Source organism: Homo sapiens, chromosome 8 (genome assembly GCF_000001405.40).
Source record: "Homo sapiens chromosome 8, GRCh38.p14 Primary Assembly".
NCBI classification, from domain to species: Eukaryota; Metazoa; Chordata; class Mammalia; order Primates; family Hominidae; genus Homo; species Homo sapiens.
The window spans coordinates 21,062,697-21,077,040 of NC_000008.11; the positions used below are offsets into that span (position 1 = coordinate 21,062,697).

General features: G+C 43.2%; 2 annotated features.

Moving 5' to 3' along the window:
- Positions 4,413–5,029: an enhancer, noted in NCBI's record as "H3K27ac hESC enhancer chr8:20924620-20925236 (GRCh37/hg19 assembly coordinates)". NCBI's record gives its function as "activates a minimal SCP1, AML or CMV promoter by ChIP-STARR-seq in naive H9 embryonic stem cells {active_cell/tissue: H9 hESC(naive)}" and the evidence as "EXISTENCE:reporter gene assay evidence [ECO:0000049][PMID:30033119]".
- Positions 4,990–6,189: an enhancer, noted in NCBI's record as "CDK7 strongly-dependent group 2 enhancer chr8:20925197-20926396 (GRCh37/hg19 assembly coordinates)". NCBI's record gives its function as "activates an origin of replication core promoter dependent on BRD2, BRD4, P300/CBP, MED14 and CDK7 cofactors, with strong dependence on CDK7, by STARR-seq in HCT116 cells {active_cell/tissue: HCT116}" and the evidence as "EXISTENCE:reporter gene assay evidence [ECO:0000049][PMID:35650434]".

Below are 14,344 nucleotides of genomic sequence, written 5' to 3' on the forward strand. Positions count from 1 at the left end.
CTAAGAGTGCTTTGATCCTTTCTGAATACATCTTAAGATATGGTGTAATATGCTACGATTTTTTCCAGGATGCCTTAATGAAAATCAGAAACACACTTTCCTAATCTAGCAATCTAACACTTTTACTTAAGAAAAAAAAGACAAATCTGACATGGCATGCTCTTAGAGAATTCTAGGTCTTAGGATTCTCTGCTTCTTTTTCTGGATATTCTCAAACTATCTCTTCTTATAATTCATTTTGGAGTTTTATTTTATTTCTTATTCCCTTGCCAAAAATGGGCCTGACACTAGCCTTCTGGTCTCCTGACAATTACTGACAATCCAGGATTCCCCAAAGATCACAACAGCAACCTGGGGAGTGAAAGAGGAATAACTGTGAAATGTAAGGTGATTTTGTCCATCAGGAGCTGAAAGAAGTAAATATATAAACAAATAAAAGACAATATTAGAAAATAAATGTTTCCTTTGGTTTGGAATAATGTCTTCACTGTAATTCTCAAGGCACAAAAAGCAGAAATCAAGAGGCTGATGGATAATTACTACATTAAAATTAATTTGGGACAACTCCGCAGGGTCATCTATCTCATCTCCGCACTCCCTGTGGGGTTGGCTGAGGTTTTGCTGCAGACGCATTGCAGTTCAACCCCTTCTTTCAGCCCAGTCCCGCATCCGTCAGTTCCTTACAGGTGTGGCTCTTGATGGAGTACATAATAAACGTCCTCCACGCAAATCTCCAAAGTCTGTTTTCAGAGAACCTGACATAAAACAGTTGGTATCAAGAAGCAGATTTTTTAAATGGGATTTTGGAGCATTATCACTCTCTCTGTAGAGTCAGCTGTAAGTGAGGGCTTTATCAGTGGAGACTGCTGGAGTCCCTGTTAGTCCCTGGCATGCTGTATTGGCACGGTTGTTAGAATGTTTATTTGTGTTGAACTGGGATGAGATACCAGTGGAAGGGCAAGTATGGGCAGGTGAGATATCTCAAGCATTTGAGAAGTATCGGTAAATAGTAAGTTTCAAATTTATGGAATTGAATGTCTTTGCTGAGTGCTACTGATGCATTAGAGAAAGACAATAAAGGCTGACGGGGACTATTCGTGAAGTTAAAGCTAAGTGTGAAAGTCAAAGGGCCTCCTTAGCAGCATAGAACAAGAACCCCCTCTCTTGCAGCAGGAGGCAAGAAAGACTGAGGGTCAGGCCAAAAGCTGAGTTACAAGGGGAGCAAAGCCTTAGAGGAGTTTGAATTCTCAACTTCAGCAAGTCTGCTCCACCAAGGTTAGGGCTGTGACTGAGAAGGAGGGAACGGGACTATAGCGATGGGGACATCTATGTTGATAAACTCAAGGACCTTGAAAGCCCATATGTCCATGAACTCTCTATGGAGGTGCCCCATCCTCCTTCTTAGAAGCTGATGCTCCCCCTCCTTTTGCTTAAAAGTGTGCAAAGGCCTCTTATTTGAAAAACATGCATACTACCCTCCATATGAAATGCTACCCTAACTTGTATCCTGTTTGACACAAGATCCATAGTTAGTGTAACATCAACTGGAGAAATGCTGGGTCTACCAAGGAAGAGGGAAATATACCAGGGATTATGGGCTGTAGCTCCTGCGCAGCAGCAGGAGATGAGAGACCAAGCACTAGACCGGCTCCTGAGGGTGTTGGGTCAAGGGTGGCAGGGTGCAAGCATGGATAAGTGAAAATGTATTGGTATGGGAACACCATTCCAAGACATAAGATGAACACCCTGGCAAGTACTGTGAGAAAGGGTGCTGATATGCTAAAAGGGTATCTCTTGGAAGCTGGGATAAAGGGATGGCTCCGCTAAATGAAGGAGAAATGCCAAAACTGTAGTGGCAGATGATGGACAAACAGAAACCAAAGCTCAGATAATTTGCCAGGCTAGAATGGATATACTGCACAAGACCAGAAAACCTGATCGGCTTACCATGTTCTATGGGACAACCTGAACGACACTTCATTTATCAAAGCGATAAGAAATGCATAGGTGAGGGGATACTATAGACTAAACTGTATCCCTCCAAGATTCATAAGTTGAAGCCATAATCCCCAGTCTGACTCTATTTGGAGCCAGGGTCTTTAGTAGGTAATTGAGGTTAAATGAGGTCATAAGAAGGGGGCCTTAATCCCATAGGATTATTGTCCTTGTAAGATAAAAAAAAAAAATGCAAGACAGCCCATTCTCTCTGTCTCTCTCTTTCCCTTCCTGCCAGGTAAACACACGGTGAGAAGGCAGGTATTTACAAGCCAGGAAGAGAGCCCTCGCCAGAAACTAAGCTGACAACAGTCTTGACCTTGGACTTTCAGCCTCCAAAACCGTGAGAAAATAAATGTCTGTTGTTTAAGCCACCCAGTCTGTGGTATTTTGTTATGGCAGTCTGGAACTGACTAAAACATAGTATTACCAAAATTCTTGAAAAATTCAGTGGTGGCTGTCCTCTGCAGGCTAGAGTTTATAAGAGGAGAGGCTGTTCTAGTACTAAATTCCCTAGTAATAACAGAGATGACAGAGTCATGAAATAACAGAAGCCAGGTGGTGGCATTTAACCATACAAAGCAAGGTGTATGCAATGTCATAATGATTGACAAAGTCAATGTGGCAGCTGGGTAGAAGCAGCCTGACCTGCAGAAAGCTAGGAAGATTAAGGGACTTGTAACATTAGCGAAAATATTAGGGGTCCAAGTGTCTGGGGCATGCTAGGACATTCCCTCCAAAGTAAAGGGCAAATTATGGCTTCTCCCATGTTCCAGCAATAAAATGGAAGCACAGTGCTTAATATACTTCTTCTGATGCTAAAGGAAGCATATGTCACACTTGAGAATACTATGCCAATCCACTGCATGGCTAAAATGGAAGGCACCAGGTTTGAATGGGGCCCAGACCAGGAAAGGGTACTTCAGCAGGTCAGTCAGGTATGCAAGGAGGCTTAATGCTTGTGCCATAGACCTGGCAGACCCTATGGTACTAGAGATATTTGTGAAGGGAAAATATACCATGTGGAGATTATAGCAAATCCTAATAGGAGAATCAAAATGTAGACCACTAGAATTCTGTAGCAGGGCCATGCCGTGTACAGCAGAGACTAATACACCATTCAAAAAATGACTACTAGCAGCTAAAGAGCACGATAGAAACTGAACATCTGACCAGAAGACGTCAAGTGGCTATGCAGCCACAACAGCCCTTCATAAGCTGAGTTCTACCAGATCCACCAACTAATATATCCAGGCAGGCTCAGCAATGACCCACTGTTCAGAGAAAGTAACCCCAGGGCCAGGCACAAGTAGACCCCAAGGTTTTAAATAAGCCACATCAACAGGTGGCCCAGACCCTTCTGTTTGTACCAGTTACACTGGCATCTCTCTTTCAACTCACCTCTGGACAACAACTACCTGACACAGGAGAAAGAGATTCATCATGGGCATGGATGGGTTTGTTTGATATGTGAGCAGAAACTGAAAGTGAACTTCTGCTGCACTGTATCCCCTCTTGGGGGTGATCCTCTAAGAGCAATGAAGAGAAGCACTACAAGCAGGTGAGACATCTGGTTGTCCACGTTGAGTGGAAGTATAAGTGGCCTGAAGTAAGGCTCTATATGGCCTCATTGGAAGTGATAGTGTCTTCGCCAGTTGATCAGGGACCTGTAAGAAAACAGATTAGAAGATTGGGACAAGAAAGAATGGAGAAGAGGCTAATGGATTGGCCTATGGGACTGGCCCAAAATGTGAAGATCTTTACATCATATGTTAATACCCTCCAGAGAGCATCCACCCAAGAAGAGGACTAAATAAGCATTTAAAGAGAACAACTAAGCCAGCTGACACCAGCCAGGCTCTCATAACAGAATCTTGACTTGCACAATGGGTTTATGAAATGGAGTGGCCATGGTGGCAGCAATGGATACGATACACAGACTCAGGGACATGAGCTCCTGCTTATCATGACTGCTCTAGCTCTTAACCCTGTCAAATGTCCAACCTACCAGCAGAGACAAATGCTATGTCTCCCATATGGCAGCATCCCTATAGGAGACCAATCTGATGTTTGATGGCAAATGGGTTACATGGAACTTCTTCCACCCCAGAAGCAGCAGAGGTTCATTTTGATAATATAAACACATATTCCAGGTATGGGCTTACCTTCCCTGCCCCCAGGCCCTTAGCCAGCACACTGTCTAAAGCCTTTATCAGTGTTTAATCCAGCAACATGGGATCCTGCACAACATCACATTAGACCAGGAAACCTACTTTACAGCAAGGGAGGGGAGATGGAGCATATAACCACGAAATTCACTCATCTTATTACATGCAACGACTCCTAAGAAATTGACAGCCTGATAGAGCAATGGAATGGTCTTTTGAGGATACAGGTGAGGTGCCAGTTTCAATATGATTCTCTGAAAGAATGGGAAGCCTGTCTTCTAGGATGCAAAACACTGCCATGCTTCCTAAATTCAAGACCATTATACATATACTACATGTATTTATATAGAAATAAATTCAGATACTGAAGAATGGCAGTTGGGGCACCCCTCTTTACCATCACTCTCAGTGACCCTTTATGTTTGCCAATGTTAATTTTCCACTGGGAACAGACCAAGAATGTCATTAAAACTTCTCCTATTGTTGGCTGGACACATTGGCTCACACCTGTAATCCCAGCACTTTGGGAGACCGAGGCAGGCAGATCGTCTGAGGTCAGGAGTTTGAGGCCACCCTGGCCAACAGAGAGAAATCCTGTCTCTACTAAAAATACCAAAAAAAAAAAAAAAAAAAAAAAAATAGCCGGGCATGGTGGCACACATCTGCAGTCCCAGCTACTCGGGAAGCTGAGGTAGGAGAATCGCTTGAACCCGGGAGGCGGAGGTGGCAGTGAGAAAAGATTGCGCCACTGCACTCCAGCCCGGGTGACAGACCAGGACTCCGTCTCGAAACAAAACAAAACAAAAACATGCTATTGCTGCCTATGGCCACTTTGGCCTAGCTGTATCAGCAGCTGGCACAGAAAGCACTCACAGTCCTGGCAGGTTAATTTCCCTTAACAATCAGATGGAGTTTGGGCTATTCTTTACACAAGGTGGGCAGAGAGAAATACATTTGTTTCTCCAGTGATCCACTGGAGTTTTTATTGGCACTTTTCTACCCAATTTTGACAGTAACTTGGTATATGTGTAGCAGCTACAGCCCAAGAGGAGTTTGCTGACCAGGGGCTCAGACCTCTGGAGGATAAGCGTATGAGTCACATCACGAGGAGGTAAGTCACACAGGCTAGCAGAGGTGCTAGCTCAGGGAAAGGAAAACCTAAAATAGACATAAAGTAGGAAGTCAGGAAGGCAAGAGCTTTTTCAGGAAATGAGAACAGCCAGAATCTTGGAGAAGCTGTTCACATATAGGGGTACTGCAGGAAGAATGCAGAGCCAGGCACTATAATGTTTATAATGAAGTGGGTTCTATGCTGCTTCACCAAGCCCGTGCCTCAGGAACCCCCAGCCATGTAAATGTTGGCTGCTGGTGGCTTCCAGATGAGTCACTTCCCAGGAATTACTTTCAGCCAAAGGTTTAAGGTAATTACTCTCCCTTCCCAGAGGCATCCCATATCCTCAAAGGCCCAGCCCTCTTGCCTGAATCAGTGACAACTCTGAAGAGCCATCGTGGTTCCAGAGCTTCTTGTGAGGTTGGCCAAGGCCTTTGCTGCAACTGTGTCATAGGTCAAATTCTCCCTCTGCTCACTCCTGCCTTTCTCTCTCTCTTTGAGATATTCCGGTGACCATTCTCCAACAATCCTCCTACACACAAATCTCCAGCTCAGAATCAGTTTCCAGGAAGCTTGACCTAAGACAGTGTTCATTATTTTATAGCTATATCTATGTTCCTACTTCTATGTTTTCCTCCTATGCCCAGCTGCTCAGGTGTGGACAAGAGAAAGTGGGTTGTTTCTGTCAGAATTAACATTTTTCAAGGTAAGTGAAATGGAAAGAAAGTAAGCAACAAATGATTTGGAGTTATTTTAAAATAGATTGACTAAAGTTATGTAATAAGCAAGCAAAGATGGATAAAGTGGGAAGTGAAGACGGGGTGATTTACAGATGGAAATGGGCTTCAATGAGTTGAAAGTTTTGAGGTCAGCGTATTCATGCAGTGGAAGTATTTGGACAACTGAGGTAGAAGGATAAAAGCTTTTAGTACAAACATGGAAGTTCTTGATTTTGGAGGTGGAGATGTTTCTGTGAATGACGTGGTTTAGCATCTTATCATGGAGTGAATGGCTCAGCTGAAGTAAAGAAGGTCATTGAATGTGAGAAATTCAAGGAACCAAGAAGCCAGGACTCTAATGTGGGGTCCATAAGCATGCTGACTTTGCCTAGGATGAGGACTGGAGTTGAAAAGGAGAAGACAGCGAATCAGCACCAAGTCGTAATGCATAGGGACACAAGGCAAGATGCTCCTCAAATGATTATTAGAAGAAGGGGGAGAAAGCAGTAGGCTGATTTGGTCTGAGCCTTAAAGACTATAGGCTTTTACAAAAGGGAGGGAGAAAAGGCAATGGGTAGCCAAGAGAATACTTTTCATACCTCCCAACGCTGAGATACAAGGGTAATAAGGATAAAGATCTAGATTTGATAAAAGTCAGCCAAATTTTGGCTAGAGGAGGGATAGGAAGAACTGAAACATAAAGGTTAAATGACTTGTGCAGAATCATATAGACTGTGATAGAATCAGGATTCAATCCCAGAGTATCTATCTGCCTCCAGAGCTCATACTCTAAACCTCCATGCTAGAGTGCCTCACAATAGGTGTGTCACAGAAGGGAAATATCAACAAAATATACACATTATATTCAGCTCTTGTTGATGCTCATCAATTAAGTCCACTTTTCTAAGTACATGATGGTCAAGTATGTTTGAGACATGTTGATACAAGCTGTTGGGCCATGATTCAGAAAAAGACACTACTGTGTAGACGATAGGGGCTTGGCATTATAGGGAGGACAGATCAAATACTACACAAAATAAGTATACAGTTCAAGGCCTCAACCTCAAAAACATGCATCACTGTCATCAACCTTAGACCTGTTTTTCTCTTCTCTATCCCCACTCTCAAGCAGCAAAGAGCCTTCAGACTCTTTCTCAGGGTCACCCACTCTGGTCCCCAGTACAATGATGCCTCCTCTTCATAGCACTCCACAGTTTGAGTCTTTCTTTTGATGCATCCCATCAACACTGAACTGGCCAAAGTCCATATCTTGGGGTATTGCCAGTGGACTAGCCAGCTAACACTGGATTTCCTCAATTTGATGTGGCTATTTAGTAGCCATTTGTTTTTTAAATGGGAGAGAAACTATATTATATATGTAATATATATAACAATTGTAAGACATCTAATTTATGACTCTTTAACATATGCCAACAAAGAGTACTTTGTTGGAGGAAATAAGGCATTTAGTAAATTTGATCTGTTCTTTTTTAAAATTTGAGACTAATGTTAATATTTCTTAGGACTGTTTTAATATTAAAACTTACTGTGTGTATGCAAAGGATAATGTGGATGTTAAGTGACATTATTAATAGCAGGCCAGAAAAAAATATATATATAGGATAGTTTAAAAGACTTAATGTGTTATCCCACCTGGAGGAACTTGAAAAGAGGTCACTTGTCACCTAGTGACCAAAAATGCAATTTCTTAGAGCAATGGATGTGTGCTAGTGGGAATTTTAGGTCCACTTAAGAAGAGAGAGGATTTACGTTTGAGCAGGTCAGACATTTATTGTTGGCTTGAAATCTTGCATGTCCATCTGCATTTGAGACCTGCTCTGATCTTTGCTTCTCCACAGCCACTGTATCCCTTGAGATGACAAAAGAAGCTTCTTAAGGCTGCAGAAATTAGGTTCCACCTGGGGTCACTTTCATTGTATACTTATTTATGTTTATGACATGGGCACTGCAATGTCCTGTCATGGGGTGAGGCCCAGGGTCTCAGCATCCTTCATTCTGCACCATATCTGCGATCAGCAGAAGCTGGAGACAGAACAGATGAGCATCCCTCCTGCACAGCCAGCTGCAGCCTTCATACACCATCTCACCAAGGAGGCTGCTGCTGGGGGAAAGGGGCCATGCAGTGTGGCTGTAGGGATTGATGGGTTGTTAATGCAGTGAGACAGTTACATTGTCTCATCCTGACAATGCCGCCATTTAGCATCCTCATGGGCAGGCACCGTGACCTAACCACAAAGCTAATGAGGCTTGGCACACCCCAGCTCAGTCTTACCCTCTGAATATTAGTTAACTTCAAAGTCTGCAACATAAATGCTCAGTCAGCCCATGGTGGTGCAGAATGGAGCACAGTGCCTCTTGCACATCGAAGTCGGGTCGCTGGAGCCTCTGTCCTTTTGGAGATTAATCTATGCTAGGCATGGGGATAAGGAGGGATGAGAAAGATGCATACTTTTTAGGACTTTGTCATACAAAATTCTATATGAAGGTGCTGGAAGAGACTTTTCCAAAGTGCATTTTGCCAACTGTCTTTGCCTTACATAGAAAGAATGTGAAGCCTGTGGGTGGGAAGGTGACTTGGCTATAACTAGTACAGAGATAAGGCTTCAGCCCAAGGCTCCTGGAGCTCCCAGACAAGACAGCCCTTCACATGGAGCCTGGTCCCAAATGAGAATAACTTTGACTCTATCCAAGCTTAATCCACGATCTCTCCCTTGATTCCTCCTTCTCCCTTCCCTCCATAGAAAGTCCCTGGGCCTGCTGTTAATATCTCCTGAGTTGGGCCCTGCCCACCCCTTTCTTTTTTTTCCCCCACCTTCACCTGGGTTAAGTGCTCATGACTTCACTCCTAAATCATGACAATGCCTTCCTAAATGATCTCCTTTCTCTTAATATTGTTCCACTGCTTCCTATGCTTGCCATTTGTAGATTCAGTTTCTGAAAACTCCTTTTCTTACAACCTTTCTCTGCTCAAGAACCTGCTGGGGCTTTGCATAGCTATTGGAATAAGGTTTACGTTCCAGTTAGCGTTCAAGGTCTCATTGCCTTTCCTATCATATCTTCAACGGTTTCCTGTGTGGTTCCAACAAAAATGGGCTTCTCCTCATCCCCTAAACACACTAGTAGCATTTTTACCTCCACACTTAAGCAGTTCCCCCTCCTCTCATTTAGAAAATCTCTACTTCTTTCTTCCCAAGAGCAATTCTATGCATTTTCAAGCTCATCTCAAGCTTCCCTCTTGCATCAAATGTTTCCTGAATACCACAGCTGTTTCATCACTCACTCCTCTGACCTCCTATAACTCTCACTGTCTCCAGGACTCACTTGAGCCTTTGTTATAACTTACCGGCATTGCTCTGTGTATCTGTACAGCTGAATCCTGTGTCCTTTCAAGCAATTTGTGAATTGCTTAATGAAAGAGATTATGTCTGTACTTTGGTCTCTCATAGATGGCTAGACCACAATGTGTGCCTAATACATTCCCATTCAACTGAGTTGAAAGCAAAGTTTAGGTCCACTTTGTCTCCAGGATAGGATTTATTGACAATTCCTCCATGACACACCCTCCAAAAGATAGTACTGACTCCAAAGAAAAACATCCTATAAATCCTAAAACAAATTATAGGTACCAAATCCCTATTAGCCCACTTATTGCAAACAGTGCAACGTACAATCAAAATCCAGAGAAGAATCAAGATACTTCTCTAGAATTTATCACAAACATAATTTGACGTATGCAGGGGAAACACCTTATGTTTCAATCTAGGATTAAACAACCTTAAATCATAAACCTTAAATCAACCAAAGCTCAGCCCTTTACTAAGTTATACAACATTTGTAAGCTTTGGTTATCTTATCTGGGAGATTCAGTAATATCTTGCTTTTCACAAGAAGGAGGATTAAATGTGCTAGCATATGTGAAAGTATTTAGCATGGTACCTGGGCTATGGTACTTGTTCAGGACATGTTTCAGTTTCTTCCTTGTGATTCATCACCCAGCAAGAAGCACCAAAAACATGGCACCAGGCACCATCAGTGGCTGCTCCGTATTGTGTGGTGGGGTCAAGAGTGAATACTAAATACCGAGGTCTTTTCAGAGGCACAGAAGAGTTTGTCAGCCTGGAAACGTTTTCACTAAGGTATCACAGAATGGGCTTAAATGGAAATGTTCCTTCCACTTTTCATGCCCAAACATCTTACCATGTCCTCTACTTTCCAAACTCAGGTGGACCATCCTTTGGCCACTGGCAGCCCAGCTACCTATAGCTCTCCCTGTCAGTGTTGGCTTCTGGGCTGTAACGTCTGGGACACGGCTGTGGGAGAGGCAAGGGAACAACCAGCCGGGCAGAGCATTTGAATTTCTGCCCGGGGACCCCTTCTGGTGTCCCCTTCGAAAGCAGAACTTCATGCCCACAACGGACATGGTTTGAACATTATGTTCTGTTAATTCATGGCTTATTCACAGAGCTGTTCTAAGGGAGAAAAATTATAATGGGTAGAAACAATTTAGAGATTCCAGGAAGAAAAAGGGGGAGAAAATATGCCCCTTTTTTACCTCAGTGCAGCAATGGGTCTTCCTGGGCATACCGGGGGCCCGGAGTGGTAGCGCACTTTTGGGGAGCTCTATACAATAGCTTTTTCCTGTCTACTCTGTGACAAGGCAGGAAGAACACATGCCATGTCCAGACCATTTACCATCATTGCCCCTGGCACCTCACAGATCTTCTTTCTGCAAGAAAGATGGCATTTCCGAGTTGACAGCTTCTCTTTCAAGCTATGTGTCACTTTGATAAGTGAGAAAGTCAGAGTTCCCCCAAGGATGGGGCATTACAAGCAAGGAGTACTCAAGGTAAATCAAAGAAGTCTGGTGGGAAGAGAAGGGGCAGTCAGGGAGCCTCTTGGCCCACCATCTTCCAGACAAGCACTGCTAAGAGAATCATGGCAAAGCAGGCCCATGCAGATGAAGGAAACTGAGTTGTTCAAGTTACAGGACATCGAGGTAGAGTCAGAGCTTACACCAAATCTAGTCTTCCTCTGCCTACTCAGAAGGTCCAAAGCATCACAGCCAAGTGCTCGGTAAAGCAGAGACCCCCTCAGCCGTTGTCTGTTCCTTCTCTTATGACTACCACATGAGCTTACAAGCTAGTAGAAAGAAGTATTCTCCTCTGCCTCCACTGAAGCTACTTAGGATGAATCATTCAGAAATTTCAAAAGCCTGACTTTCACAGCAGGTGTGACTACATCACTACAGCCAGTTAGTGGGGAGCGTAAAAAAAAGCAGGTTTCAGCAATGCTTAAGGAAAAACCCTAATGATTGTAGCTGCCTAATAATAGAGCCAATTGTCCAATAAGGCAGTGAAATCCCCAACAATGGAGGTGTTTAAAAAGAGTCTGGTAGAGTCATTCCTGAGAGCACTCTCCCCTGGGTGGGAAATCGGACTAAGCGGTCTCTATTTTAACCATCTTTTGACTCTTATCTTCTACAGGAGGTAATACAGAGGATAGAATAGACTGGACTCAGTTCCTGTACTAAACACAGGTCTGCATGCAGATGGCACAGAGCTTAATGTCGGAGGATCCGTGTCAGACCTCACTCCTCATCTCCTATCTCCTTCTCCGATCTTCTTAGTTGGTTCTAGACCATGTCCCTATGTCTTCGATTCTCGGAGGGTAACATTAAATGCCAATGCCATCCTTGGGGGAGGCTTTTCCCTTGGACTTCTCATTTGGGGCTACGTGGAATCCAGTATTTAGACAGAAAGAGAGAAAAGGTGACAAATTGTCCTGACTGTAGCCCTTCTAAGTCCCATTTCACTTGTGGCCCTTGTGGGAATCTGCGATGAGATACCCAGTTACTCTCCCAGAGACCCCAGCCTAAGGGACCACAGGCTCATCCCCCACAGAAGCCACAGAGAGCAATGGTCACTGTTATGGGTTCTGGAGTAGGAAAAATGTGGGCTTGGATTCTGGCATTTACCAGTTGCCAGCCATGGTGTGACCTGGGGCAAGTTATTTTCACTCTCTTAGCCTCAGTTTCCTTACAGGTAAAATATGGAGGCTAATTACCACCTCATTAGGATTTTTGATATGGAGGATAACTACCACCTCATTGGGATTTTTGATATTGGGATTTTGATATTTTGATATTAGCACATTCTATTTATGTAATAAAAAAAATGGTGGTTCTCATACGACAATACTCTACTCACCAGCAGCATGTATCTTTCTCCACATACTCTCTTCCTGCCTCCTACCAAGATCTCTGCCCCACCTCAAGCCAGGCTCTCTGCACTCCTTCCTATTTCCCTCTTGCATATTCAAGGACATTACTTCAGCAATACTGCCCTTCTCTACCCTCCTTTGCATCATCATTTTTTTTTCATTTTCTACTAAAACAGTTTCATCAGCATACAAAATATCCCTATATTGCTATTTCTCTCATCTTAATAAAAAACAAACAAATAGCTTCTTATGATTCTCACTTCCCTCCCAGTGACTGATCTATTTCTTTACTCCTCTTTGCAGCAAAATCCTTGCAAGAGTTATCCTCATTCACTGTCTTCAATTCTCCTTTTAGCGTTCTCTCCTAAACTCACTCCAGTCAATCCTTTGGCCACACCAATCCATTGAAACTGTTCATATCAAGGTCGCCAATGACTTCACCATTGCTAAATCAATTCTCTGTCCTCCTCTAAATTGACCCTACAGCAGAGTCTGCCCTGGTTGATAACGCCCTTCTCATTCATACATTTTCTTTACTTGGTTTTTAGGATACCACTCTCTCCTGAATTTCTGCTCCACACCTTCTCAGGCTCTCTTGCCGATCCCTTCTCTTCACCTGTACCTGTTACTGATGGAAGGTCACAGTTCCCTCCTTGGTCCTCTTCACCTATCAGCTCTCATCATGTGTGATCTACAGTCTTAGGGCTTTAAATAACATCTATATTCCAATGGATCCCAAGTTCACATTTCCGTTCCAGACTTCTTTCCAACTAGCATTCCACTAGCAGACTAGTATATCCAATCTTCACTTGGATGTCTACAGATATGTAAAAATTAGTGTGTCCAAAATTAAACCCCTTATCTTCGCTTCCACATCAGTACCTCCCAGAGTCTTCTTCAGCTCTGGAAGCAGCAATTCTGCCCTTTTATTCAGGCCTAAGACCTTGGAGTCATCCTTGACTCCATTCTCTCACATCTTCCATCCAAACCCAGAAATACCGTATCCTCCAGCTTCAAAAAATATTTCTAGAATCTGGCTACAGGTCATAGCACCTACAGCTGTTTTGTATTTGTGATTGCAATGCCCTGTCCACATATAGCACTTTCAATCTCCGATTCTCATGTCTACCTTCTTAAATTTTTCTATAACTCTTACTTCTTTCTAGCATGCTATATAATTTACCTGTTTTACATCTCATGCTTAACATCTGACTCTCCCATTCCCATGCTGCCTGCATGTAAACACCATCAGTGCAGGGATGTTTTGTTTACTGACATATTACAAAAGCATAACACAGTGTCTGGCACAGGGTAAGGAAACAGCAAATCTCTGCTGAATGCAATAATTATTAAACCATTTCAATTTCCCTTACAATAACACATTTAGACCCAAACCTGACATACAGAGCTATACATAGTGTCCAGTTCTTCAGAGACCCCAGCAGCCCAGAAAGGATGGATGAGGCAGTCAATGCCATTGTCTGACTAGCGGGTCTAAGGGTGTCTCTGCACCAGTCTCTGACTTCCAAGGGGCATAGATCCTCCTCCTGGTAAGGATGGCTTCTCGATCAATCAATCCACTGAGCAACTGCACTATTCACTATGGGAAGACAGGAGAAGTTAACACAAGGTCCCTGCCCAAAAGGCAACACTTAGCCACATAAAACAATAAGCAGACAGTACCAGGCAGTATATCATCAAGTGCTAAATTAGGTGTTATTGACTCTAAGTGCTGTTAGAGTTCAGAGAGGGGAGAAATCAATGAGCAGTGCAGCCATGGAGAGCTCTGGGCCATCACTCCCCAAGTTCCTTGAGGGCAGGGACACTGTCATGTTTCTTTTCTTTTTCTTTCTTCCTTGCATCTCTTCTTCATCTTCCTTTCCCTAGACCCAGTACACTGATGTACCCAAAAGAGACATGTAAGGACTGCTCTCTTTATATTTCCCCTAACTTTTCATAAAGGATTTGAAGTAGCTTAAAGGGATATAAAATAAATAAATAAACACACTTTAAACAAAGGTGGCAAGGAAAAAACCAAAACAAGGGTAGAGACAGAAAATGGAGCTGGGAATGAGGAAAACAGAATAAAAAACAAGCCAGAAAAGACCATG